Source organism: Homo sapiens, chromosome 6 (assembly GCF_000001405.40).
Source record: "Homo sapiens chromosome 6, GRCh38.p14 Primary Assembly".
Classification (NCBI taxonomy): domain Eukaryota; kingdom Metazoa; phylum Chordata; class Mammalia; order Primates; family Hominidae; genus Homo; species Homo sapiens.
Window position 1 is genome coordinate 169,702,123 of NC_000006.12, and position 26,563 is coordinate 169,728,685.

The 26,563-nt window shown below is 40.4% G+C and overlaps 3 protein-coding genes across 6 annotated transcripts in view, besides 6 other annotated features; 1 reads left to right on the forward strand and 2 right to left on the reverse strand.

The window, feature by feature from the left end:
- Positions 1 to 370: a silencer, noted in NCBI's record as "silent region_17797". NCBI's record gives its function as "represses an Ori minimal core promoter by ATAC-STARR-seq in GM12878 lymphoblastoid cells {active_cell/tissue: GM12878}" and the evidence as "EXISTENCE:reporter gene assay evidence [ECO:0000049][PMID:35858748]".
- C6orf120 (chromosome 6 open reading frame 120) lies at positions 4 to 4,238 on the forward strand. 2 transcript variants are annotated; one of them, NM_001317342.2, is made up of 2 exons: positions 4 to 74; positions 315 to 4,238. In NM_001317342.2, exons 1-2 carry the CDS (start codon positions 41 to 43, stop codon positions 911 to 913), a joined length of 633 nt encoding a protein of 210 aa, NP_001304271.1. In that variant the 5' UTR covers positions 4 to 40; the 3' UTR covers positions 914 to 4,238. The 2 variants fall into 2 exon arrangements, with proteins under 2 accessions (NP_001304271.1, NP_001025034.1); NM_001029863.3 differs by having other exon boundaries at positions 4 to 4,238.
- Positions 1,780 to 22,378, reverse strand: PHF10 (PHD finger protein 10). Of its 2 annotated transcripts, none has more exons than NM_133325.3 (12): positions 21,723 to 22,378; positions 18,883 to 18,989; positions 16,666 to 16,796; positions 15,701 to 15,778; positions 13,833 to 13,966; positions 13,586 to 13,735; positions 12,611 to 12,720; positions 10,264 to 10,417; positions 8,114 to 8,269; positions 3,494 to 3,602; positions 3,011 to 3,199; positions 1,780 to 1,966 (listed from the first exon to the last, which is right to left on the reverse strand). In NM_133325.3, exons 1-12 carry the CDS (start codon positions 21,807 to 21,809, stop codon positions 1,881 to 1,883), a joined length of 1,491 nt encoding a protein of 496 aa, NP_579866.2. In that variant the 5' UTR covers positions 21,810 to 22,378; the 3' UTR covers positions 1,780 to 1,880. The 2 variants fall into 2 exon arrangements, with proteins under 2 accessions (NP_579866.2, NP_060758.2); NM_018288.4 differs by having other exon boundaries at positions 15,701 to 15,784.
- Positions 21,480 to 21,859: a silencer, noted in NCBI's record as "silent region_17798". NCBI's record gives its function as "represses an Ori minimal core promoter by ATAC-STARR-seq in GM12878 lymphoblastoid cells {active_cell/tissue: GM12878}" and the evidence as "EXISTENCE:reporter gene assay evidence [ECO:0000049][PMID:35858748]".
- Positions 21,960 to 22,199: a silencer, noted in NCBI's record as "silent region_17799". NCBI's record gives its function as "represses an Ori minimal core promoter by ATAC-STARR-seq in GM12878 lymphoblastoid cells {active_cell/tissue: GM12878}" and the evidence as "EXISTENCE:reporter gene assay evidence [ECO:0000049][PMID:35858748]".
- Positions 22,270 to 22,569: a silencer, noted in NCBI's record as "silent region_17800". NCBI's record gives its function as "represses an Ori minimal core promoter by ATAC-STARR-seq in GM12878 lymphoblastoid cells {active_cell/tissue: GM12878}" and the evidence as "EXISTENCE:reporter gene assay evidence [ECO:0000049][PMID:35858748]".
- Positions 22,270 to 23,043: a biological region, named in NCBI's record as "H3K27ac hESC enhancer GRCh37_chr6:170124719-170125261".
- Positions 22,501 to 23,043: an enhancer, noted in NCBI's record as "H3K27ac hESC enhancer chr6:170124719-170125261 (GRCh37/hg19 assembly coordinates)". NCBI's record gives its function as "activates a minimal SCP1, AML or CMV promoter by ChIP-STARR-seq in naive H9 embryonic stem cells {active_cell/tissue: H9 hESC(naive)}" and the evidence as "EXISTENCE:reporter gene assay evidence [ECO:0000049][PMID:30033119]".
- The window catches only part of DYNLT2 (dynein light chain Tctex-type 2), a 26,482-nt gene continuing 22,887 nt past the window's right edge, over positions 22,969 to 26,563 (reverse strand). For both annotated transcript variants that reach the window (XM_006715554.4, XM_011536093.4), the window contains exon 5: positions 22,969 to 23,447. The gene's annotated coding sequence lies outside the window, so the exon portion shown is untranslated. The remainder of the gene's footprint in view (positions 23,448 to 26,563) is intronic.

A 26,563-nucleotide genomic window follows, 5' to 3' on the forward strand; every position in this document is an offset into this window, starting at 1 on the left:
GTCACTTCCGCCTCCGGCGAGGCTCCGGCCTCGGGTCCGGATGTATAAAGCGCGGCCCCCTGCGGGGAGTGGTGGTGAGTCCGAGGGTGCCACAGCGGCCCTGCCCCTGCCCCTGCCCCTGCCCTGAGTGGGCGCCGCGCTACGGGGGAGGGGTTAACCCACCCCTCCTCCCCGGGGCCTCACGCGGGTGGGAAGGGACAGTCCCAGCGACAGACCAGGCGCCTGGACGCGCCGTGGACCCGCGTGCGGACGGCGGGGACAGGCTCCGGTGCTGAGCGCCTCCGGTGTCCCCAGCAGCACTGACCCACTTGCAGGCCCCGGAGCTGAGCCGCCAGCCATGGCCGCTCCCCGCGGGAGGGCCGCGCCCTGGACGACGGCCCTGCTGCTGCTCCTAGCCTCGCAGGTCCTGTCTCCGGGAAGCTGCGCGGACGAGGAGGAGGTCCCCGAGGAGTGGGTGCTCCTGCACGTCGTCCAGGGCCAGATAGGCGCCGGGAACTACAGCTACCTGCGGCTGAACCACGAGGGCAAGATAGTCCTCAGGATGCGCAGCCTCAAGGGAGATGCGGATCTGTACGTCTCCGCCAGCAGCCTGCACCCCAGCTTCGACGACTACGAGCTGCAATCGGCCACCTGCGGCCCGGACGCCGTGTCCATCCCCGCGCACTTCCGGCGCCCAGTGGGCATCGGCGTCTATGGACACCCCTCCCACCTGGAGAGCGAGTTCGAGATGAAGGTGTACTACGACGGCACGGTCGAGCAGCACCCGTTCGGCGAGGCCGCCTACCCCGCCGACGGCGCAGATGCCGGCCAGAAGCACGCTGGTGCCCCGGAAGACGCCTCGCAAGAGGAGGAATCTGTTCTCTGGACGATATTAATTAGCATTTTGAAACTGGTACTTGAAATTCTCTTTTGAGTCGTTGACCACACTCTGGGATATAAAACCCTCCATCTGTGAAGCTGATTGCAGTTTGCTGTGAACCTTGCTACTTGTACTTGGTTGAAGTTCTAGGTACCTTTAGTCAAGGGATGGAAAAATAAAGCCATACGCAGTTTTGTTACCTCAGTTACCCCAAAAATAGGAAAAGCAGCAAGCACAGTATTTTAAAGATCATAATTCCTATAAAAGGACTGTGCACAAAGTGTTTAGACTCCATTTTCATTAGGCAGGTTGACTAAAAATGATTGCAGTAACAGGTTTATATAAAATAGAGCAACCTTTCATGCTGTGACACAAATCAAAAGGTTGATAACTTTGTAATTTTACTCTGGAGATTCTAACCGAAGTTGGTGTAAGTTTTCAAGAGTTACTAAAATCAAGTTGGAAATGATTTACGTACACTTCCCTGAGCCTGGACTAAAGCCTCATGCCTGTACCCCAAGTAGGTGATGGTACTTTTCTATACAAAAAGGATTTCCTGGCAGGCAGGTATTTACAAAGTTTGTTCCTGTACCAGTCCAATAATGACAACTCTAAATCCAGCTGCACCAAATCTTAGTGGGCCATTTGTCATACCTATGAAAATTCTTCAGTTATTAAATAACTTTGTCAGTGCTACCTATGGTAGGCCGGAAACAATGTAGATTAGGAAGTTTCATGAAAATTAACTTTTGGGGCTATGGAGAAACAGTTAAGTATCTTAAGTTACTAAACATTTCCACTGAATTTTTGGAGTGAGCCAAGGTTACTATAAAATACTTTGGAAGATGAATTCTCTACCTGGAGTTAGTTTCGAGAGTAAGCGTAGCTTTTAACAGAAATAACTGCAGATTTTAAGCTCATAATTTGCAAAAAAAATCTTTTATTGGCATGAAAATAATGTTGTAAATGGCACCAAATATTCCACTTAAATGCATATACAGTATTAGAGTCAAAAACTATTTTATCCCTCTTTGCTGTTTTTCCCCCTTCTGCCCACTTTCCTGGGTGTTGGGGGGGCCCGCTGACAACAGTCACAAATCCAGCGACCTAGGAAAAAAATTGTTAATATAGAATGAAAAATTATCTTTACAGGACTGAATTTTAAGCCCATCTAAACTCTTCTGCCTTAGCTATCACTAATGATATTCCTCTCTGGATTTTGTGGTGAGAAGGGCACTATGAGTTCCTTAATTTAAGGAAAAAATGTAAACTTAATCAATGTAATCAATGCCATGCAAAATTCATTGCAAGTCAAGGGGGATGGGAGAGATGCAATGCCATACGGTGATACGGACCTTTAAGAAAGTACAATCTTTCCTGAAATTCAAACACTATCATACTTCAAAAGGTCAAAACCCATTCCGGAATTTGGCTTTTTTAAGACTTTTTCTCTCCTGCTCACTGGCAGCTGTGTGTCTTAACAGCATTCTTTCAAGTCCTGGTGTACTCTGCTGACAGCACTTTAAAACTTTAACAGCACAATGATAACTTGTACTACATACTTGATCTGAATTACTACAGAAAAATAATTATGTTGCTTGCTTAATGATTCCCAGGAAACTTCGTTGTAGGCATATATTTTATAAGAGTATTATACAGTGTTAACTATGCAAGTAAGTTCTAAAATTACACAATTATCTGTGTAATGTTTTAGTCCAATTACTGTGATTTATTCAACTCTGTTCTAAAGTTATCTGGAATTGTCATGCTGCCTCAATTTACAGAAATCTATAATAGATTTCTATAGAAATGTATAAAGACGTAGCAGTCATTTTGTTGTTTCTAAATAGATAACATATAAAAATAAAGGCTTTGTTACTTTAGTATTTCAGTAGAAAAACACCAGCTCATTCTATAGAACTATACTTCCAAAACTTAGCAGGGGCATTCTGGCCTTTCACTTATCCTTTAGTTGGAATTGTCTAGGGATGAAAAGCTGGTGGACATGACCTGTATAATCACAGCTTTGGTCATATTTGCACATAAGAGTCCACAAGCTCTTCATGTCATGATAGCGTTTATGCAGCCTTTTGGAGTGCTGGGAGAGTCTCATCACCCAAAGATAATGTTTGCTCTTTTTTTAATCTTTACCTGATGGAATAGCACCAAGGCCCACACAAAAAGTATGATAACCTCTGTCACACATATCACAGAACATCATTTCTTCTTCATGGTGGGGTTGTCCACATATAATGCATGTTTTACATTCCATACACTGCCATGGGTAGGTCTTAATCATAGAAACAAGCTCCATTGTCATATCCAGGCAAGAAGGATGGCCTAAATCAAAACCAGTATTAGTGGTATCTCACATAAGAAATTTTAACTTAATATGGCACATAAAATACTAGTTTGCTTTAGGACTTCCAGAGAATGGCTATAATGTCAAATCGCCAAAGAGAAATGAATATACAATGTAGAGGAAAACACATGGGCTGTGTCTATGCCTCACAAGCTACCCTGTGTATTTAATTTGGTGACTCTTTGGTTGAAATCTGCCTGAAACTATAAATTCTAGTTTTTGAACCAATAAATACGGTGGTTAAAATTTTAAAAAGACATTTCAATACTTACCACTATTCTCACATTGGGAGCAGTGTATAAGTGATTCAGCCTTTCCTTTCTTGTTGGACTCCTTACCCTTCAGACAAATTCCACATATAGCATTTGGAATGACCTTTGGCTGGAAGGGTAGAAGAGGGCTATAAATTCATGCCAGAAGAGCTTACTATGGGTTTAAAAGGAATTCTGTTACTTTATTGCCCTATTTTTACTTTTGGTAACTTGCTAATGAGGACCATTTTGAAAGACAAAACTTGACAGGAGTCTGCCTACAATGTAAGACTGCCTACTGAAGAAAGCATTAATTTCATCATAAAATTTGGTAAACAGCATGATCTCGTAAGATTAAATGTAGCATTCTATACTCCCTACATGCACAGTAAGATTTGTTTAATGAATGGAAGGAAAGACTAAATACAATGTCAAATGTCACTATTAATTGGACAAGAAAATCCAAGTAGCAAATGACCATTATGTGTAAGACTTACTCTAAAAAGACCATTTTAAATAGCTCATATATTAATTTTGTTTAAAACCTGCTATTTTCCAAAACTGCAAAACTAGAGCTATAAAATCTAAGTTAAAAAATCAGCTTATCCTCATTGGTATAGTGGTATTTAAAAAAAAATCAGTTTAAACATTTTTAATTGAAAGATGTCTCATGCATACATTGGCGTGTACATAAACGTTTGTGGAAAACTTAGTTGTGTGATTATTCTCTTTGCATGTCTAATAAAAGAATCTATACTTAGAAAGATTCACTATAAAATGTAAAATTATAAAAGGGAAAAATAAGTTTTCAGACAAGCAAAAAAAAATTGCAGTCACTTAAAAAATACACGAACACTCTGAGTACTACTGATCTTTCAGATTAAAAACATGCATGGTCCAGTGAAGGTGTCTGAATTTTAGACATATTTGGTTACACATGGAAATGACAAAGGAAAAAGGGTTCACTGCACTTAAAATTACCAGGGGAGGGAGGGCATCCGAACGTCACGGTCTTGACTGTTACAAAATGACGTTCACTCATGCTATAGAAATAAGTAAATAACAGTGGTAAAAAAGGAAGAGCAAGCATGGGCCAAGAATGAAATGGGGTAAGGGGACATACATACATACATACACACACACACACACACACACACACACACACACACACACACACACACACACGTAGATGAACTGGGAAAATAATTATTTTAAGTAGAATTGTTTCATTTCTGCTTTATTCCCACCCTGCCAAATGCATCCCTTTCCTAATTTACTGAACCAAAGAGGAACCTAAACAAAACTCAAACGTTGTATATATTCCAGCTTTGAAATGTCTCACTGCCACCTTCATAACCTGTTAGACCTAAACAATTTGTTCTTAAGTTTTGTACTTTTTAAATTATCTTTCTTTGCAAAAGATGACAGAGGCATTCAAAAAGAATTTTTGGCTTATTTATTTAAAAAAAGTCAACCTTATACATAAATAGAATAAAAACAAGAACTCTAAACAATCACAAATGTCTCTACAAAATAATAAATATCATGGAAGTTAAACATACATATAAAACTTTACTATTAAACTAATCTCCTGTATGTATATTTTTATACCCTGCTCCCCCCAACAAAAGGATAGTGTCACATGCTCAAACCATTTAAGTCTTGCAGTGTAGTTACCCTCTGTTGTTACTGCTACATTCTAAACATAAGGTTCTCATTGTGTGTTCCTATACCTAAATAAAAAACAGCTAGGAAGTGCACTTCTATAATCCAAATTCTGGTTCAGTTATGATCATATCTGTACCTGCCATAATATACAGCAGAATGCTCTCTCTTAATCCATCAAAACTAAGAAATCTCTTGGTTATGGTACCTGTACTAAATGTAAAAGATATACTTATTTAATACTAATAGTTTAAGTTAGATACTGGCATAGTAAATACTCTAATATCTTTCACTAAAGTCAGGGAAGTAACCAAACAATATTAAATTCTAAAAACAGAACTCCTCACAGGAGATTCTTTACAAAACAAAAGCCAAAAGGAGTAAAACACAAGGGTAGTCATTCACATTCTAGAGCAATTCAAGTTCTACAATCATTAAAATATACATTAAACACCTATGATAAAAGGGACACCAAAAAATTCTAGGTTTATTTCTAAGTTTAAATCATAATGATTTGTTAAATCACTTAGTTTTTCTTACCCAACAGCCTTCATCTTGATGAAAAGAGGGAAACATGAGAGAAGGGGAAGAGAGACAGCTTTGTAGCATTTTCTACGATGAATGCTGCAGCTCGATATACAAAGCATCTGCCCTCTCTAAGAAGCCACAGTGCTGGCATCCAGGACTTTACACAGCAGATAACAACTGTGGCTTAGAGAAGCCAGTCTCAAGTGGATTGCACAGTTGAGGGAGGGGTTAATGTGCAGCACTCTCCACAAGACCAATGGAGCACACTCCTATGTGTGTCTGGTTTAGACAATCAGTTCTACTTCAAATAACTGCAACATCATCAGAGTATCACTATTGACAAGAAAACTGAAATACTCATCCTAATAGCTCTCAGCATCTCAAATAAAAGGCTCACAGTACACTTACTTTTCTACTTGAAAAACAGCCAAAGATAAGACTTTCATGGTAGCAATAATATAGTATAGATTTTAATTATTGTATTTATAGGCCGGAATCCTAATAATTATGCTTTAAATTTCAGGTTAATGTAACCTAAACAATACTGTTCTATGAATTAAGGGCAAGCACTAGTGAATCTTATTAAGCAAAGCATCAGATACATTACTTCCTTGAATCTCGTACTTTTTATATATAAACTATGACCTTTAGCTTGAAGTACCCTAATATTTAGGCACATCTTGGTTTATTAATACTTTTTATAAAGAGGTTAACTTTTAATAAGCATGTTCACATTAATGTATGATGACTAGATACTGGTTGTTCCCATCTTTGAAATACCTGAAACATTTTTAGGTACTAAAAATGTTCACAGATTATGTAAAATATAAATTTTGCATATCCTACTTGAGTACTATTAAGTTCAGTTAATCCATATGATTTCTTGTATACTAAATCAATGATAGTGTTGAATAGCTGATTTCCAGCCTGTATTAAAACATCTATTTCAATATTCTCTCTTTTTAACCCATGATCAATCAAGCTTACTGTTGCAAAGATCTACTTAGCACTCAAGAGTTAACAGGACACTGTGCTTTGAGCGGCCACTTCCATTTAAAGCTCTTAGCAGACCAGTAGAACACACTCATTCATGTATACTGCTTCTGAAATTTCATCTTTGGAGCTCACTTGCTTTCAGTTATTAAGCATTAATTTATATAAAGAAATTACATAAGCTATATATGTAAAAACAAGTACAAAAATCACATAGCTGCAGCCTATTGCAGCCACCCTTGGAAGCCAACCCTTGCTGAATTAAGCTTAAAATTTGCTTGCTATAGGCTACAAAAAAAAAAAAGAATTTTTAAGTTAATTACATAAAAGCATTTCCTAATAAAATATGAAATACACTAACTTAATGTCGCTTTTTTTACTTGAAGAAAGGTAAATGAACATGTTAGAACGTGTTCTAGTTAGTTTGAGGGAAAGGTGACTTACTTCAGCCTGTTCTTGTGAATTATTTACCACAATCACAGTTCTGACATACAAGGTGTTTAACAATTTCACTTGGCAAAACTTTCTCATCAGCTTACTCTAAAATTTTCCTTCAATACACCTTCATAAGTGCAATAAAAGCATGTTCTAATACATTTCAGACCAAAAGAATCAAAAGGTAGTCTATTTTACTACCACCATCCCAAATATGAAACTGTACAGCTAATTCTTCCTTTTATGATATTCTTAAATCCCTATATGCAAATAAGGCTACTCATCTCTCACCTCACCTTTTCTTCAGAAGAAAAGGGAGGGGCAGACAGAGGGAGGAAAAGTTCAAAATATAATAATAGTTGCTGACAACCTACTCCTTTACTCTGAGGATAATCAGATCAACAAGTTAACAAGTATGTTTTAATTCTTGCCATAGAATCATATAGGCTCTTTACCAAGGTTATGCTAAAAATCACTACAATGTAAGTAACAGGTTTTATTATTTTCTATCCCAGAGTTAGCTAAATTTAGCATATGGATCAAATAATCCTTAGATTAAACCCAGATCTTTCTTAATGAAAGGCACTAAAAAAAATGCAACTTAGTCTAACAGTATATCCACTCATACTTTATAGCTCAGCAGCTTTAGCTACACTAAATGCTGGGGCATTTAAAATGCCAAATAATTATGATCTTTACTCCAAGGAAAGAAAATATAAACTTCTGCCTATGAAATAATGTTTTAAAAACCCATACTTGCCTGGTTATTCTTTCAAAGAAAAAAAAAGACTTATAAATTGTACATATACAGAAAACAGAAGGTAAACCATAGCCAAAAGTGACAGAAAAGCCACCAAGGAAATAAAGCAAAAAAGAAAGCAGCGGACAAAGGGCACACCATAGAAGAACAGCTAGTGAGGTACAGCAGGCAGAAGCTCCACAATCGTGAAAGTCAAGTTAAAATATTTCAGGGAGAGGCTGGTCAGTAAAGAAGCTGAGTCAGGGGCTTTTTTCTTCTACCTTGTACCCAGGAACTGACTTGGACAGTACAGAACGTTTGGGACCATCTTTTCTTGGAGTGGCAGCTTTGTCTTTTGATTTCTGTCTTCCCTGGAAAGAGTCCTCCTGGCTGTCAGGAGGGCTTTCCCCTTCAGATACATTGCCAGAGGAGCTGTCCTGGAGTTTAAAAGGCAAAAACAAAGATTCTTTGGAATTAAGACAAATTTGAGTCTGGATTTTGAAAACTATGGAAAATATTCAAAGAAAGTTTTAAAGCTTTATCATTTTAAAAATAAAAAGATCATTCTAAATGTAAGAAAGCTTTTTCCAGTGGAGACTAAAGTAAGTTATGTTAAAAATCATTCCTCCTTCTTCTAAGTATATTATATAAAACTGATTCCATATCAGTGCCTTCATCAACTTTGTTTTCTGACATAAGTCACAAAAACACAATTATCCGCTTCAGCTACTATTACGGCACACAGCTTCAACATCATTTTCCGTCACAAGGGAACATATTTGTTTCATACAAAAATATATTGTTACAAATAAGTGTGGGTATTTTCACTGAGTACTAAAAGTCATTAAGAAGGTCCTTCAGGAAAAATGAAGCGCTGCAGTTAGGAAAAAAAAAAAAAAGTCCTTCAAGTACACATTTGTGTTTTCACAATGTTAAACTATGCAGAGCCAATCCCTCAACTATCTACAACAGGATCTGAAATATTTTATATATTCAAGGTTTAAGACCTCAGTATCTGATCATTTAATTCTTCATTTTATAATTTAAAATGTTCTAATTAGAACTTTCATATAAATTACAAAAATTATAAATTAAAAAATTAGGTTATCTAGAGCCTCCCTGATAAACACACACTGACTAGAAACATGAATGTATCTACTTTATCTTTTTTCTGGGTGTCCACTTATATACATAAAGATACCGAGACTCACACATTACCCCCTACCTCATTGTGCCCTCATTTTTTAAAATACAAAACTGGATTACACTGTGTGTGTATGCATATGTGTATTTTGGTATTTTTTAAAAGCATTATGTGCATTTTCTCACAATCATTAAATATTCTTTGAACTGCATTTCTATCCTATAAATGTAATATAATATTACCCACTGTGGGCATTAAAATTTATTTGTAACTTCCAGCATAAAAAATACTGTCAACACTCAAATGGACCTTTTTTTCTAATTAAAATTTTTCAGCATCTGATTAAATCCTTAGGATAAATTCTACTAGTGGATTTGCTAGGTCAAATACTATGGAACTTAAATTGGTAAGACTGTCAAAATGCTTTCCCATAATGTTGGATTAGTTTACACTTTTCCTAGCAGTATGAAAGGAAGTCAGCTTCATCACCCTTTGCATGCCATAGCTCCCCTTTTAGCAACATGACAGGAGAAAAGTTGTGTCACCACTTTAATACTTGAACAGTATCTTATTTTGCATAATATGTATTATTAAAGATGTTTTAGAAGCTGTTGGTGACAAGGAAATAATGTCCATTCAATGGTAGCACAATCTCACATTTACATTGGCTTCAATGAAAAGTTTGAAATAGCCAGTTACTTAAAACACAATGCTAAAGAAATTCAAAGCCCTATGTCATCACTGGGATCAAAGCCCCAAACCATCATTGGGATTTTATTCTCCTTCAGGTGCACAGAATACACCAACTGCCCACTGTCTTGCAGGTGCATTTTGCTACAAAAAAAAAAGTCATACAGGAAAACCCAACAAATTGTACAACATATTACTAAACATAATATTTTCCTATAGGAAGCATAAGATTAAGCAAATGCACTCCCCTCAACTAAGAAAACTACATTTCTGTGTCAAGAGATCAAATTCTGTTTTGTTCAATATTTTAAGCTAAAGAGACAGCAAGTTGAATAAATGATTGTAAGCTAATTTTCCATACCCTTGCCTAAACTGCTCATGGTAACTACAAAGGGGCGATTTTAAGCATAAAGCTTACCAAAGGCCATTCACTGCTTGTTTTTATCAAAACATACTATAAGTAACTTTTATTGATGAATACTTTCTGGAAATTACATGCAACCATCCTTTTTCAAGGAGAGGGTGATGACAGAAATTCAATGTAACAAAAATTCAAAGAGAAAGGAAATGCTTCCTACTAGAGAGAAATGTTCTCACCGAAGTGCCTTTATTTTTCCGTTTCTCATCACCTCGACCATCTTCGCCATCATCTGAATCACCATCACTGTCTAGAGCAGGGAGCTCAGGATCCAGAGGGGGCTCATACAGGGCTGTGTTTAATGGCAGATACCGCAGCTCATCTGGTGAGTACCTGAAGTTCAGAGAGTTTATTTTTGGTTTCCCTTTATTATTAAATATAAACAGACTCATCTTTGACCTATGAAGATAGCCTTAAACTTCTTGAGTAACCCCGAAGACTTTTGAAAACTAGAGTACTAATTTTTCATTTTTGTCATCAAGTAGGGTTAATAAAAAGCCTGAACATCTTTTCACTAGACTTATGTAAAATATGCATTTGATTCTTACTAAGAGATAATGTGCCTCCCCTCTTTGCCCTCAACCCAAAAAAAGAAAAAAGTAAATAAAATGTCAGCAGCCCCAAGTCTGGCTGCCAGCTCACATCCACCTCGACCACTGTCCCAGGTCTTTGCTACTTCTCTGTGCTGTCACTCCATTTGTAAAACAGACCTAATAATAGCATCTACCGCATACAGTTGATATATATGCATTAACTTATTTAATGCATACATATCACACCAGTGCATGGTACATGATATTACTTAAAATAATAACATAGAAAGCAAAATTTTTAGTAACCAATTATTGTAAACAAATTTGGGAAGCATGTATTCTAACAAATTTAATCATCTATTTTGTCTGAAACTATATTGGCAATCTCTTCCCCTAGGTCAGACAGCACTGCTTCGTGCCACCTCCATTCTCACCCTCAGTAGCCCCCATTCAGGAGGCAACCCTAGATGAAGACTTCTCCAACTAAGACAACACACCAAAAAGCAAAGGGGTTAATATACTTGCATATGACTTTTAATAATTTGCTGATGCCAAAATAAAATTTTTAAAAATTAAAGGCCGGGTGCAGTGGCTCACGCCTATAATCCCAGCATTTCGGGAGGCCAAGGTGGGCAGATCACCTGAGGTCAGGAGTTCGAGACCAGCCTGGCCAACATGGTGAAACCCCGTCTCTACTAAATATACAGAAAATTAGCTGGGCAAGGTGGCGGGCACCTGTAATCCCAGCTACTCGGGAAGCTGAAGCAGGAGAATCACTTGAACCAGGAGGCAGAGGTTGCAGTGAGCCGAGATCGCGCCACTGCACTCCAGCCTGGGCGACAGCGTGAGACTCCATCTCAAAAAAAAAAAAAAAAAATTTGAAGAAAAACTTTTAAAAAATTGCTGCTCATGATTTAAATTTGAATTTAAAAAATCTTTTTTTATTTAAAAAATTTCTGCCCAAGATTTGACTTTCAAATGGTGTGAGTTATGATACTATATTTTAAATTCTATTCTCTAAAAAATAGTATATTATGAAAAACATACGGTTCCAGAGTAAGGCTTAAGGTTGAAGTAAAAGCTGAGACTTTAAAACAAAATGGGCTGGGCACAGTGGCTCACACCTTTAATCCGAGTACTTTGGGAGGCCAAGGTGGGCGGATCACTAGGTCAAGAGATCAAGAGCATCCTGGCCAACATGGTAAAACCCACCTCTACCAAAAATACAAATAATTAGCTGGGCGTGGTGGCATGTGCCTGCAGTCCCGCTATTTGGGAGGCTGAGGCAGGAGAATCACTTGAACACAGGAGGCAGAGGTTGCAGTGAGCCGAAATCACACTACCACACTCCATCCTGGGTACAGAGCAAGACTGTCTCAAAAAAAAAAAAAAGAATCTGTTAGCCCTGTTTTTTTCAGTTACATTTAATTTGGGAATAGGAGATAAGTAACATTTAGGGTCCATATTGGAGCAGCAGCCAGGCCAGGTCAGCAATGTGGCTGGGGCACCCAGTTGCCCATGCCTGCCCCTCTCCGCTCCTTCTCTCATCTTCTCTGCAGTAAAAGTCAGTGTTTCTCAAACTCTAACCTGCACATGAATCACACAGACATCTGTTAAAATGCAGACTCTGAGTCATAGGTCTAGAGTTGGGCCTGAGATTCTGCATTTCCAACAAGCTTCTGAGCAATAACAGTGCTTTGGACCACGGAACATACCCTGAGCAGTGAGGTGCTACAGAACCCCCAGCATCTGTCTCTAACAAACCCAAACAGAATGGGCAGAGACAGAGGCATCTAGACTTCACCAGCATATATTCAAATTCTGACTACAGGGTATTGTTTACCACAGAACCAGAGAAGAATAGCAACACAAATCCTATACGATATCTTACGGTGATATCTATAGACCCCAAAATTGTTAGGAGGCAAGTACAAAAGGCTCTGAAACCCCTTACCAATAGCCGATACCAACTGTAACTAAAACTACTAAATACCTCTTATAATATTCCTGGAACTGTCCGGGGATGAGAGCCACTGGGTAAGAACTGACCTTTGTTCGCTCTGTTGGCAAAACTTTGTACTTCCCTTGAGGTACCTGGATAACCTACGTTAACATAAAGAGAAACACAAAACTGATTCCATGCTAAGAATCAAGGCTTTAGGAAGAGTCCCCACGTGCTCACCACTGCACGCCCACTTCCCCCTCGAAAAGCTAAAATTTTAGGAGATATCAGGAGCTATAACCTAAGAGGACAGTTGGTGCTTTCAGTTCTATATATTATTGTTTTAAAGGCCTATTCTCCTGAGGAATGGCAGTGGATCTCTTGCTCACTACTTAACAGCAGAGTGATCTGGGTAGCTTATACGACCTCTCTGTAGCTCAATTTCTTTATGAAATGGAAGTAATCCTAGTTCCAACCTCACATGGTTACTATGAGAATTAACATGCAAATCTCTTAAAAACTCTTGGGACGCACAGCAAGTATGATATGTAGCTATTATTAGTCTCATTTAGAATTATTAACCGTAAAGCAAAAGACATCTCACAAAAAAATGTAAATTGAGTATTATTAAGCACACCATTAAAAATAACATCTCAACTTCTGAGGAAAAAAAGAACACGCAGGTGTCAGCATGGCCAACATGGTAAAACACCATCTCTACTAAAAATACAAAAAATTAGCTGGGTGTGGTGGCAGGCGCCTGTAATCCCAGCTAATGGGGAGGCTGAGGCAGAAGCATCGCCTGAACCCGGGAGGCGGAGGTTGCAGTGAGCCGAGATCATGCCACTGCACTCCATCCTGGGCTACACAGACTCTGCCACAAAAAACAAAACAAAACAAACAAACAAACAAAAAAAACACACACACATAGGTGGTACAAAAAATAACGATAAAGGGGGTGATGGGCACTCTGCAATAACAAGTAATAAACTAAGTTCAGGGGGTACTAAATTTAAGTTATCCTACATGTGTCTGCAAGTCAAAATAAGCTCTTCTTTCTTCCATGCGTTCCCGGTTTAAGTTGCTATTAAATTCTGCTGCTTTTTTGGCAGCTTTCTTAATATACTCAGGCACTTTACTGGCTTCAACTTTCTGAGTATTCTGTTGTTGCATTTGCTGGAAAAAAAAAATACAGTTGGAAGTCACATATAACTTTCTAAAATGTCATTTTCCCCAACCCAAATAAAAAATGCCAGTCACCTCAATTACTTACGGAATACTCTTTATAATGGTCTGTAATTCGTTGACGTTCTTTTTCTTGTAGAATAACAGAATACTCAGCATGTTTGGCTGGATATTCTTTTATCATTAAATCAATCACTTCATCACTGCGCAATGCTGTTAAGCCTATTTTAGACCAAAAAATAAAAAAATAAAGAAGCTCTTTTAAGGATAAGTGAACAAAAGCACTCTTCAAAATTTAATTCTTCAAACCGCTCCACGTTGTAATGGTTTTCCAATAGCCAAAGCAAAATATCTTAGTACATTTGAAAATAATTAAACTTAATATTCACAATATAAACTCGAGCAATCAAAAGATTATCTTGCAAAAGGCAAATATATCAATTTTTCAACCAAACAAGTTTATTTTTAAGATTCTATGTGCTTTGAACATATATCCCTTTAGTTGGAAACAACTGTTAAATAATGAAATGCACTAACTACTAACAAGTACTACAGAATACTAGATGAATAAAAAAAAATTCAACATATTATAGTTCCCAGTCTTCAAATTCCATACACAAGAAATATTACAATCAATTAAAATTTCACCAAAAACATCAGCACACACACACACACCATGGAGACAATTTTCAAAACTCACAGTATCAGATTTCACCAATTGCTAAAATGCATTCCCAAGAATTTATATAAAAAGTAGCCATGTTGCATTAAAATGTTTGTGAAAAAAAGATTACAAATAAAGCACGGACATAATTATACAGAACTAAAAATTGAAGAAAATTTGCCTTTTTGCATTTTAGAGATGTGGTCTCGCCATCTTGCCCAGGCTGGAGTGCAGTGGCTATTCACAGACATGATCACAGCACACTACAACCCCAAAGTCCTGTGTTCCAGTGATCCTCCTCCCTCAGCCTCCCAAGTAGCTGGGACCACACGCACACACCATGCACTTAGCAAAGAACCTGCAACTTAAAAAAATATATTGTACAAGCTTTGTACAAAAAATACAAACACTCTGAAAACTCTGTAAAAATTATTAGACAAGGGCTGGGCATGGTGGCTCATGCCTGTAATCCCAGCACTTTGGGAGACCAAGGTGGGTGGATCACAAGGTCAGAAGTTGGAGACCAGCCTGGCCAACATGGTAAAACCCCGTCTCTAATAAAAATACAAAAATTAGATGGCTGTGATGACATGCGCCTGTAGTACCAGCTACTCGGTAGGCTGAGGGAGAATTCCTTGAACCCGGGAGATGGAGGTTGCAGTGAGCTAAGATCGCGCCACTGCATGCCAGCCTGGACAACAGAGAGAGACTCTGTGTTAAAAAAAAGAGAAAAATTAGACAATTATACTCTGTTATAGAATAGAGGTTGATCCTTGACTTGCAATGGGGTTACATATGATAAACCCATCCTAAGTTGAAACTATCCTAAAAAGTAAAAGCATTTAATACATCTAGCCTACCAAACATCTTTGCTTACCCTAGCCTAACTTAAACATGCTCAGAAAACTTACATTAGCCTACAGCTGGGCAAAATCAGCTAACACAAATTTTAATATAAAGTGTTGAATATGTCATGTGACTTGTTACATATTATACTGCAAGTGAAAAGAATAATGGTTGTATAGACACTTGAAGTATGGTTTCTACTGAATATGCATTGCTTTCACACCATCATGAAGCTGAACCATCATAAGTCAGGAACCACATGTGTGTTCAAGCTTCATTCTCCTGTGTATTTTAACAATAATCAAAAATGAAGTAAATAATGTAGCATTTAAATAGTTCAATTTATTTTATTAATTTTGTAAAATATTTTAGGAAATAAGATACTTATCTAGTATTATCTCATAAATGTTCAGCTTGAAAAATTCACATTAAAAAGCTATTCTTACCTAGAGTGCACTGAGTTTCAGTAATGACATTTAGCTCTCTCAGGTAGAGTTTCTCCTTGTGAGACAAATCTCGTCGCTCTAAATCTCCAAAAAAAAGATCAAAAGACTATTAAAAACAGCAAAACCTTATGCACTTGTAAAACTTTTAAAAGCTTAAAAACCTTGACTTTTTAAAGTATTCATATTACATATTCCAAATATTATTAAAGGGGCTACAAAAAAATTTATAAATTCAAGAAATAAAACTCAGCAAGATACAAAAGTTAGAATAAAATAGGAAATAGAATAATCCAAAGCAAGAAGGTCATATAAATAACTATACTAAACTAGTTCATGAGGAATAGCCTTTCTCAAATTCAGATACGGCTCATATAGCTAACTCTATTCCTTAGATCAAGAAACAATGGTAAAAATCCCAAACTTGACTATAAAATGATTTTTTCTAAAATTTTCCTCAGGAAATTCACCTTTCCCATTTTGCTTTTAAATCAGTTTATGAGCCATAGAAAATATCAATAATGAAGAGTGATGCTGAATGATAGCAGTAAATGAAACACAGCCAGGCGTGGTGGCTCACACCTGTAATCCTAGCAATTCAGGAGGCTGAGGCAGCAGGATAGCTTGAAGCCATGAGTTTGAGACCACGCTGGGCAACATAGCAAGACTTCACATCTCTAAAAAAATAAAAATTAAAAAAATCTGCCACGCGTCGTGGTGCACACCTGTAGTCCCAGATACTTAGAAGGCTGAGGCAGGGAGACAGCTAGCCCAGGAGTGCAAGGCTGCAGTGAGCTATAATCGCACCAGTGCGCTCTAGCCTGGGTTACAGAATGAGACCCTTAGTCTTAAAAAAAAACAGCAAGCACAAGAATATAAAATATAATCTACAGAAAAATTCAGAAGTTGACAGTGTATCATAAAGAATTACTATCAATTATAAATTAATCTATTATATAAACTAGTACCTGGATATTTCCTTTTAAAGGAGGTCACACCCAAATATTCACTGACTTGTTCTTGAAGCATATAGTATTCTCCTGTTTCATCAGGTGGCCATTTGTACTCTATCAAGTTTTCTGCTGGATAGTAACTAAAACTAAGTACAGAAATACATATTATGCATTAAATGTAGCTTTCATTAATTTTTAATCACTTTTATTGAGGATATTTTGAAAACTATTTTAAGTATTTAAATTATTTGCCTCCTATGACTTGACTTCCTGTGTATCAAAGAAAATTACAAAACAGGTACAAGGAATAGAAATAATTATCTGGTCTACCAAGTCAAAAAGGTATGTGAAAATAACATCTTTTATACACTGGGAAGAACGTAGAATCACAATTGCTAAGAACGAAGGCATTTTTAGTTTAAAGGACCTATGAGGGCAAAGCAAGGTGATGATGGTATCAGCTCTGACTTCTTTCTCTTGGGCTTAAAATGCATAGCCAGTATTTCATCCACCCAAAGAATAATCAACTTCTGTCTCTTGTCTACTGTTCAGTGAGTCATAAATAGCTGAGAAAACAGAACTCTTAAAAACCTATTATCTCAGTGCATCATATCATAAACCGTAACTGTTTGTTCTCAGATACTCCACAAACCCAGAAGCAAAGAATGGACCTAGTTTGAAGGTGCCAGGGTATCACAGTCGATCTCCATCCTGAGTAACAGAGTACAGATTTCAGGATATGGGCCAATTCAACCTCTATATTGGACATGGGAAAGTGACACTATGTTATGCATCCATCTATTTAAAAAGTAACCTTCAAAAAGAACAGTGTTCTCAAAAATGGTGCTGGGAAACTGGGTATCCACATGCAAAAGTATAAAATTGGACCTTTACCTCATATCACAACTCAAAATGGATCAACAACCTAAATATAAGAGCTAACTAGAAAACTCTTAGAAGAAAACATAGAAATCTTTCACAACCTTGGATTTGAAGGTAGATTCTTACATATGACACCAAAAGCACAAGCAACAAAAGAAAAAATAGATGAAAAATTTGGGCTTCATCAAAATTAAAAATTTTGTACAGGGACACTATCAAGACAGTGAAAAGACAACCCACAGAACAGGAGAAAATATGTGTAAATCATATTTTTGATGAAGTATTAATATATAAAATATATTTAAAAAGCTCCTACAACAAAAAAAACCCCAAATAAAAAATGGACAAAGAACTTGAATAGACATGTCTCCAAAGAAGCTATACAAATGGCCAAGCAGATGAAAAGATGTTCAATATCAGTAGGCATTATGAAAATGCAAATCAAAATCACAATAAAATATCACTCCACACCTTTTAGGGTAACTATTATTTTAAAAAATGAAAAATAACAAATTGGTGAGAAATATGAAGAAACTGGAAACTGTGAATTGCTGGTAGGAATGTAAATTGGTGTGCAGCCCCTATGGAAAACAGTTTGGCAGCTTCTCAAAAAATTAAACATAGGATTACCATATAATCCAGCTACTCCACTCCTAGATAAACATCCAAAAAAACTGAAAACACAAACTCTGAACACCAATGCTCACTGCAGCATTATTCACCTTGGCCAGAAGGTGGAAACCCAAATGCCCATCAACATCTGAATGGATAAACAAAATCAGTATATACATAAAATGGAGTATTATTCAGCCTTAAAAACAGAAAAAAAGTCTGACATATGCTACAAAGATGAACCTTGAAGATATTCAAAGTTCTAAGAGAAATAAGCCAGCCACAAAAGGACAAATATTTTATGGTTCCACTTATATGAAGTAACTAAGTAGTCGTATTCACGGAAATAGAAAGTAGAATGATGGTTGCAAGGCGCTAAATAGAGGGAGAAAGGGAGGTTATTGCTTAATGGTTATAAAGTTTGGGGTAGTGAAAGTTTTGGAAATGGATGGTGGTAATGGCTGCACAACACTGTGAATGTAACTGATGCCAATGAATTTCACACTTAAAAATTGTTAAAATGATTAATTTTATGTATGTATGTATTTTACTATCATAAAATTGCTTTTTAATTACACTCAGTAGCAAGACCAACTTTGATGGCACATTATAGAACAGGAAGAAAATATTCTACAATTTTTAATAATTGCCTTTGCCAGAGCTGGGGGAAAGGGAAGAGGATGTTAAGGCAAAGAGGAACATCACAAAAAATATTAATAACCGATAAAATGACAGTACCCAAGATCTTGACTTGAAGTTTCACAACTCCTAGAACTATCTCCTGAGCCCATTCGCCTCCTTTTGGATGGCTGGGTCCCATCATTTGAATTATCTTCATTATCATCCTATACATTTAAAAGATTCAAAAATAATAATTAGAGAAAGAATAAAAGAACAGTAAGTCTCAATAAATGAAAGACTGTCTAAGGACAACTAGTCATACAAGTATTAACTTCATATTATAATTAAAAGGGTCCAAGAGTTTGGCATGAGCAAGACCTGGAATAAAATTTAAAACTGATCTTCAATCCAATCCAAATAAGAACATTTTCAATGAACCCGTAAATGCAAATCTGCTTTGGTTTCTGCTCTTCATAAACATATCAAACTGCTGCATCACTCTAGGATTAAAGCAAACTCTCCTACCCAAGCTCAGGGGGAAAAAAATGTATGGATCATTTACAGTTCTCAATTCAACTTGAAGCCGGTTCATAGGACTATTTTAATTGACTACTTTAGGCATTTATGTCCCTGTGAAAAGGGGACATATGAGACCGAAAACAATTCTAACTATTCACTCTTCCTCTTACACTGCTAAAATTTAGCAAAAATATACCCTAATAAGGGTCATCAATCTATAATATAGCAGCACACACACCAAAAAAAGAAGCTTGAGAGGGGGAGGGGAATTTTTTTTTTAAAGAAGATTATATATTTTTAATGTAATCCATTATGTGGCAAGAACATCAAGGTTATAAATTCAACCATTTCATTCAGAAAAAGTATCAGATGTTAGGAAATTGATTTATTTACTTATTAGCCAAGGCTTAAAGTCTAAAAATCATAATTTTTTAATGTAATATAGCTTTCAACGCTAATCCAATTTTGCTAAATACTATAGTCCTCTTGCTACATATTAAAATGAAAGCAATCCTGCAAAAGAATATAAAGAGGCAATATGGTATAGTGGCCAGGCATGCCAGAGCTGGACGGCCTGGGTTCTCACTGGGCACTGTCCCTCACTAGCTGAGTAGGTTATTCTCTGTGAGCATCTCCTTATCCGAAAATTTGAGACTATAATAGTGCCCCATTACATGGCTAATTCAATGATTAAACGAGCTACTATATTAAAAGTACTTAGAACAAGGACTGGCGAGTTATCTGATAAATATTAGTTAAAATGATGATTATGATGATAATAAAGTCTCAAATGTCTCTAGCTCCTAGGAATTAACTGGTTCTTTTCCAAATAGTAAAATATATATTCTTTTTCAGTCCTTATAAAATAAGCATTTCATTAAAGAGCTTTGCATAGTCTAAATCTACTCTCTGAAAATTTGCATAAGTATCTGCATACAACTGCAACACTGCATATTCAATACTTTCAACATAACTCATTTTAAACATTCCAGTATTTTTTCTATTTTACTGGTGAGCATTTTAAGGATTTTTATATCCTTAAACTTAAAAACATTTTCCTTTAGCTAAAAAGTTGAGACACTCAAAAATATACAAAAATAAAGTTAAAAATGCAAAGTGCTCAAAAAAGCTGAGACTACAATTTCATCAAGTGTTTTAAATTACTACTACAAATTCTAGGCAAAGGCATTATTATATAAAGTGAGCATCTGGGCAGCGGGCCTTTTTCTTGAGGGAGGTAGTAACAGCAATATTGTTCCCAATACATGACGGAATAAGGTAAGAATTTCCGTGTAACCGCAATACTGATACAGAGGCCCATGTTTTCAAAGACTCCCAAACATACTAAATCAGAGATGTGCCTTCCAGAGTTACAGGTGGTTTCCAACTACAGATCAGATGAATTTCTATGCATCACATCCTTCCTAGGGCTCAGGGGTCAAGAATGCACTCAGGGGGCACTGGCTCAGTGCCCTCCAGGTGCCGGGCCAGACGTCAAATGCTGGAAGTGCAAGGATGTGCATTCAGAGTCTTACAATCTAGTTACTTCCATTGACGACAGCCTTTGAGGAACCTTCAAAATGAGTCTCACAGCACGGTGGACGTGCGCAACGGGAAAAGCTCCCAAGCAGGCGCAGCCCGGCTAGGCTGCTACAGGACGGCTTCCCCTGCCAACGCGCACACGGCACACCGCGCACCGCACGAAGGCTGGCTGGCTCTGCAGCATTCCAGTTCCCACCGCCTTCTAATTTCAATCCAATTTCAAGCTTCCAGGCTTTTAAAACATCATTCCTCCCTTCCAACTTTCTGTCACAAACTGCTAGCCTAACTTTAGAACCAAAACGTTTTGATGCGTGACACTACTGCTCATCTCCATTTTCTCCACAAGCACCAATTTCTTTTCACCTCCTCAAGCAGTAAAAAGTTTTAACAGACTTCCGCTGAAAACATCCGGACGCTTGCGTATTAACTTAGTTATTACAGTAAGTTCACTGAGTGTGTTGATTTTCCATATCGTTCGCCACTCGGTTTTTGCAGTAAGCGTTCAAACACTTCGGCAAACTATGCGCGGAATGAACGCTGAGCGAACGCGCGCTTCTGCAGGCCCCTCCGAGGCCAACTCTCTCGGCCCCGGGCGCGTTCCGTCCCACGGCTGGCCTAGGAGGAGGCGTTTTGGGGACAAGCTTGTCAAGCAGGGCCGGCTGCCAACTTCGGGGAAGCCGCGCCGCGTCCCCCGCCCGCCCGCACTTGTTGCTCGCTAGAGGCCGCGGGCTCACCTCGGGGCCCCGCCTCGCCGACCACCCCCGGTCTCAGGCGCGGCGCCCGGCCTGGGCCCACGCCCCCGAGACGCTGGGCGGCCGCCGGTGGGACTGGGCCCACGCCCCGGCACCCAGGCCCGGGACGGGGTCAGGGTCGGGTCGCACCGGCCGCTTCCTCACCTTCGGGGACTGCGCTCCGGGGGTGGCTGGGTCGCTGTCGCACGGCCGCGGGGACAGCGCAGCCCCGGGCCCGGCCGCCGCCGCCATCAGCCCGAGCGCCCCGCGCCGCCGCCGCCGCCGTCGCCTCCGCCTTGTCCCGGCCGCCGCCGCCGCTGCCGCCGCCGCCGCCGCCGCCGCCGCGCGGGCCCCCCGCCGCCCCGGCCCCGCCCCCTCCGCCCGCCCGCCCGGGGGCCGGCCCCTGCCGCCGCGCGCCCCGCGGCCCGCCAGCGCCGCCGCCACCGCCATGGCCGTCGCCAGCGCGCCGCCCGCGCGGGAGGGCGCCAAAGGCTGGGAGGGCGCGGGGCTGCGGGCCGGAATGGAGGAGGCCCAGCGGCGGCGGCGCTTCTCACGTCAGCCCAACCCGCCCGGCCGCGGCCACCGCCTCAGCACCGTTGCCCCCCACAGCTCCGCCGCTGGCCTCAGCGCCGCCGCGACTCCCTTCAGCCCCGCCACTCGCTCGCCTCAGCCCCGCCGCTCGCTCGCCTCAGCCCCGCGGCCGCCTCAGCCCCGCCGCTCGCCTCAGCCCCGCCGCTCGCCTCAGCCCCGCCGCTCCCCTCAGCCCCGCGGCCGCCTCAGCCCCGCCGCCGCCTGGCTCCCCACGGCCCGGCGTTGTACTCGGCCGCGGCTCCCCCCAGCCCCCGGCGCGCCCCACCTCCCGCCCGCCCTCCGGCCCGCCCCGGCCCGGCACGTCGCCACTTGGCGCGCTCGCAGCCGCCCCCTCCCCGCGGCCCCCGGCCCGGCCCCTCCGCGCGTCACCCTCGTTCCCTCCCTCTCTCCGCGCCCCCGCCGCGCCCCTCCCCGCCCCTCCCGGGGGTCCCCGCCCCGCCCCCTCTCTGCCGGGGGTCGCCCTGCCCGGAGCAGTCGCGCGGAGACTGCGCGGCCTCCGCCTCTACGCGCTCGCGGTCGCCGCTCCTCTCCCGCCTTTGTTCTCGGGTCGCCCCTCTCGCTGGTGGCGCTCCGAGAGAGCAGCGGAGCCACCTGCCCAGGCCACGCTTCCCCGAGCATCCGCAGCTGCACCCGGGGGCTGTCGGCGCCCGCCCCGGAGCGTGCGGGAGGCACAGCGGGAAGAAGTCGCTGAGATTCGGCCCTCGTGGCTTTGCGTGCCCGCGTGGTTGATGCCTCCGCCGAGAACGCGGTCGGCCGGGAGCCGGGGAGGAGCGTGGACGCCGGCCTGGCAGGTACCCCCGCGAGAACGTGGGAGCCGGTGTATTTCAGCTGCATTTATTACTGATCTCGGGCTGCACCAGGGCACTTGTAGGACCGCACTAAAAACAGCGGAAAGTGAGGAGCCAAGCCTGGGTCCGGGGCGGCCCGCCGTACAGCTGGCCTCACGGATTCCACTGCCTGCGCCTGCAGATGACTTGTTCTGGAGAGTAGAGAATGTTCTCGGATTTAAAGTACAATCCGGTTTCCTTTCCATTCATTATAGTTGCCTACACTCAACAAACAAAAGTTGGGAAAGATAAAGGGATTATTCTAGCGCGTCACATTGACAAACACCGACGTTAACACGCTCAGTCCAGCCTGACTCACTTGCCTCAGGTCAGAGAGGTCACCACTGACGACGCCGGGCCCTCAAGCCGATCCTAATCCAGCTTGGTTCTCTCAGCCTCAGCCAGACCATCCGTTCTTGCCTCTGTCCCACCACGTGCAGGTGTAAGCTTCCGCCGCACTTCTTGTCTGAATCTGCCAAGAAGAAACTGCATCTTTCAGCTAAATTCTTTTCACTGATCAGGGTAGAGTTTAGCGGTTTTTTTTTTAAGAAAAAAAACAAAAACAAAAAAAAACTCTTAAGCTATTTGGTACTCCTCTCCCTCCGGGATTCTGTCTCTAGATTGTGAAAGCTGTCAGAGAATGGAGTCAGGGAAAGCCGTGATGGGAAAGTTCTCACTAATAATTGCCTGATATAAAGAATTAGCACAAAAGACTGCCAAAACCACAACCTTGCACAAAGGCCACAAAACTACACAAAAAAATGCTTCAAGGACATTTGCGCAGCAACTGCCTGTCCAACCTTGGACTGGCCATCCCCTTTGTTACTGATCTTTGTAGCCAAGGATAATTGTTTCAAAACAACTTACGTAATCCTCCTCGTTTTTCCTTTTAAACCCCTTATCTTCCTTTACCTCCCTGAATACACCTATAGTTTACTATGACACCATATTCTACATTGCAATGCCCACTTTCAAATAAATTTGTCATGTTTGGCAAACCTGTCTGTTATTTAGGTTGACAAGATCAAATGCAAATTTATTCTGGAGTCAACAAATAACTGATTCAGTCTTCCAATGTGCAAGGCAAAGAAGAATATTAAGGAGACACTGTATAGATTAGATCCCTGCCTATAGGCAGCTTCAACACTAATACAATATGGTACGAATATATAATTGTACTTTAAGGCAGCTTAGGTGGGAAAACAACTAGCAACTAAAAAAAAAAATGGAGTTTACTACCAACTAAAAAAAATGGAGGTTTCAAGGTTGACCTAGAATTTGAAAACTGCTTTAAAGACAGGTAAGAAAGACACAGGTAGATGTGCAATGGAAGTAGAAATTGGGTTTCAAGCCCCAAACAGGCTGAGGGGTGGGAAAATAGACATATTCAGGTACATCAATCGTTCCAGTTTGGCATAAGAATGAGATAAATGAAGATGGATTCTAGGAGTTAAGGATGAAATATGTAGGGAGGTACTATGATGTAATGGAGAGAACAAAGATTTCAAGTTAAGACTTTGGTTTAAATCCCAGCTGTGCCTCTTATTAGCTGTGTGATCAAAGGTAAATTAGTTAATCTCTCTGACCCTCCATTTCCTCATTTGTATGATAACAATAATGTCCAATTATTCCACAAATATTTTATGGCAAGCCAAGTATTAACTAAGAACTATGTTAAATGATGAAGATATAAAAAAACCATTTATTCATTCATTCATCAAATGAATGCCTTACTGTTTACTAAGTTACACCCTGAGTTAGGCCCTGGAAATACTGATAAGGGGGAAAAAAGCATGAAACCGTATGAGACCACTTAGATTATGCAGATATACGTGAAAATAAGGCCCAAGACCAAGAAGTCCAAAGGTACTCAACTTGTGGAAGTAAGATAGAGAAGGAAAAAAAAGAAAACTAAGTGTAAAGTACTGTAAACTGAAAGGAGAGAGTGTTTTAAAAGAGGGACTGGTCAGCTCTCCTAATGGAGAAGTTAGTAAGGTGGCAGAGAAGAATACATTGTATTTATCAACCTGGAGGTAATTAACTGTCTTGACTGTTTCAAGCTATTTCAGCAAAGTGGTGGTTTCAGAAACTAAATTAAAGCAGATTAAGGGAGGAATGGAAGCCTAGGAATTGGAGCCAGAGTATAGACAACTCTTCTGTGTAGTTTTATTATAAAAAGTAATGGAGAAAGAGAGTATCTGGAGAGGTGGTAGGGATGTTTTTAAGATGGAAGACATTAGCACATGTTGGTATACTGAAAAGAATGACTGAGTAGGAAGGCAGAAAACCATGATTGAGCAGAGAGAGGAAATGCTACTGGAAGGCAGCTTGTGAGAAGGCAAGGAAAAATGGGCTCCAGAGCACAGGTATTAGACAGGAAGCAGAATCCACCCAATTTAACAGGAAAGACAGAAGGTGGTCGCAGCTGCAAGCAGGTGAGTGGAAAACTTGAAGGTTTGTTTTTTTGTTTTTTTGTTTTTTTTTGAGACAGAGACTCACTCTGTTGCCCAGGTTGGAGTGCAGTGGCCTGATCTCGGCTCACTGCAAGCTCCACCTCCTGGGTTCACGCCATTCTCCTGCCTCAGCCTCCCAAGTAGCTGGGACTACAGGTGCCCGCTACCACACCTGGCTAATTTTTTGTATTTTTAGTAGAGACGGAGTTTCACCATGTTAGCCAGGATGGTCTCGATCTCCTGACCTCATGATCTGCCTGCCTCGGCCTCCCAAAGTGCTGGGATTACAGGCGTGAGCCACTGCACCCAGCCAACTTGAAGGATTTTTATTTCTGATATATTTTCTTTCCTTCATGAAATATAAAGGGAAAATCAGCTGACAGTTGTGTAGGGGAGAGAGATACAGAAGATCTGAGGAAGAAGGAGGTGTGTCAGCAGGAAAGCAAAGTTTCCAGGATGCCAAGTGTTTTGCCTTCTTGAGAGTTATGGTCATGAATTTAAAGTGAAACTACTCGGTCTGGCTTTGTCAGGTTCTCAGTCAAGTTTACCTACTTGGATTCAGGCTTGGACAAAGTGGATAATGGGGTTCATTCAGGAAGGGGTTTTCCAGGTGAGGAAGAGGGACAAAGAAATTGAAGTCTGTTTGTAAAGGAGTGATTATAATGATGAGCCATGATATCTAAGCTGGACAAGGTAGGAAATTTGAGGGCTATAAATGGTGAAAAAAGCCAATGAACTGGAGATTTCAATAAGATTAGAGAATGGCTGTCTTCGGGGTACTAGAGGTGGTGAGCTGGAAGGACAGGAAATGATTGCATGAGAATAACTTGCTTGAAATAAAGATTTCAGAAGTCATACTAATATTGGCGACAGCAAAGTCTAGAGGGGTAAAAGGCAACTGAATGTGAGTTGGTTAAGGAATTAGAAAGCATACAGCCAGTCCTAGCTTGGCATGGTAGAACATGACTAGAAAAATGACCATGGAAGTTGAAATTGTGCAAAGTGATCTTAATAATCAAAGAGAAAAATTAAAATTGTTCTGTGACACTTAAGAACTTTTGTTGAAACATCAAAAACTCTGTTACTGCTACGTAGACATATCAGGAATTTTTTAAATTGTAAAACTAATTTATTT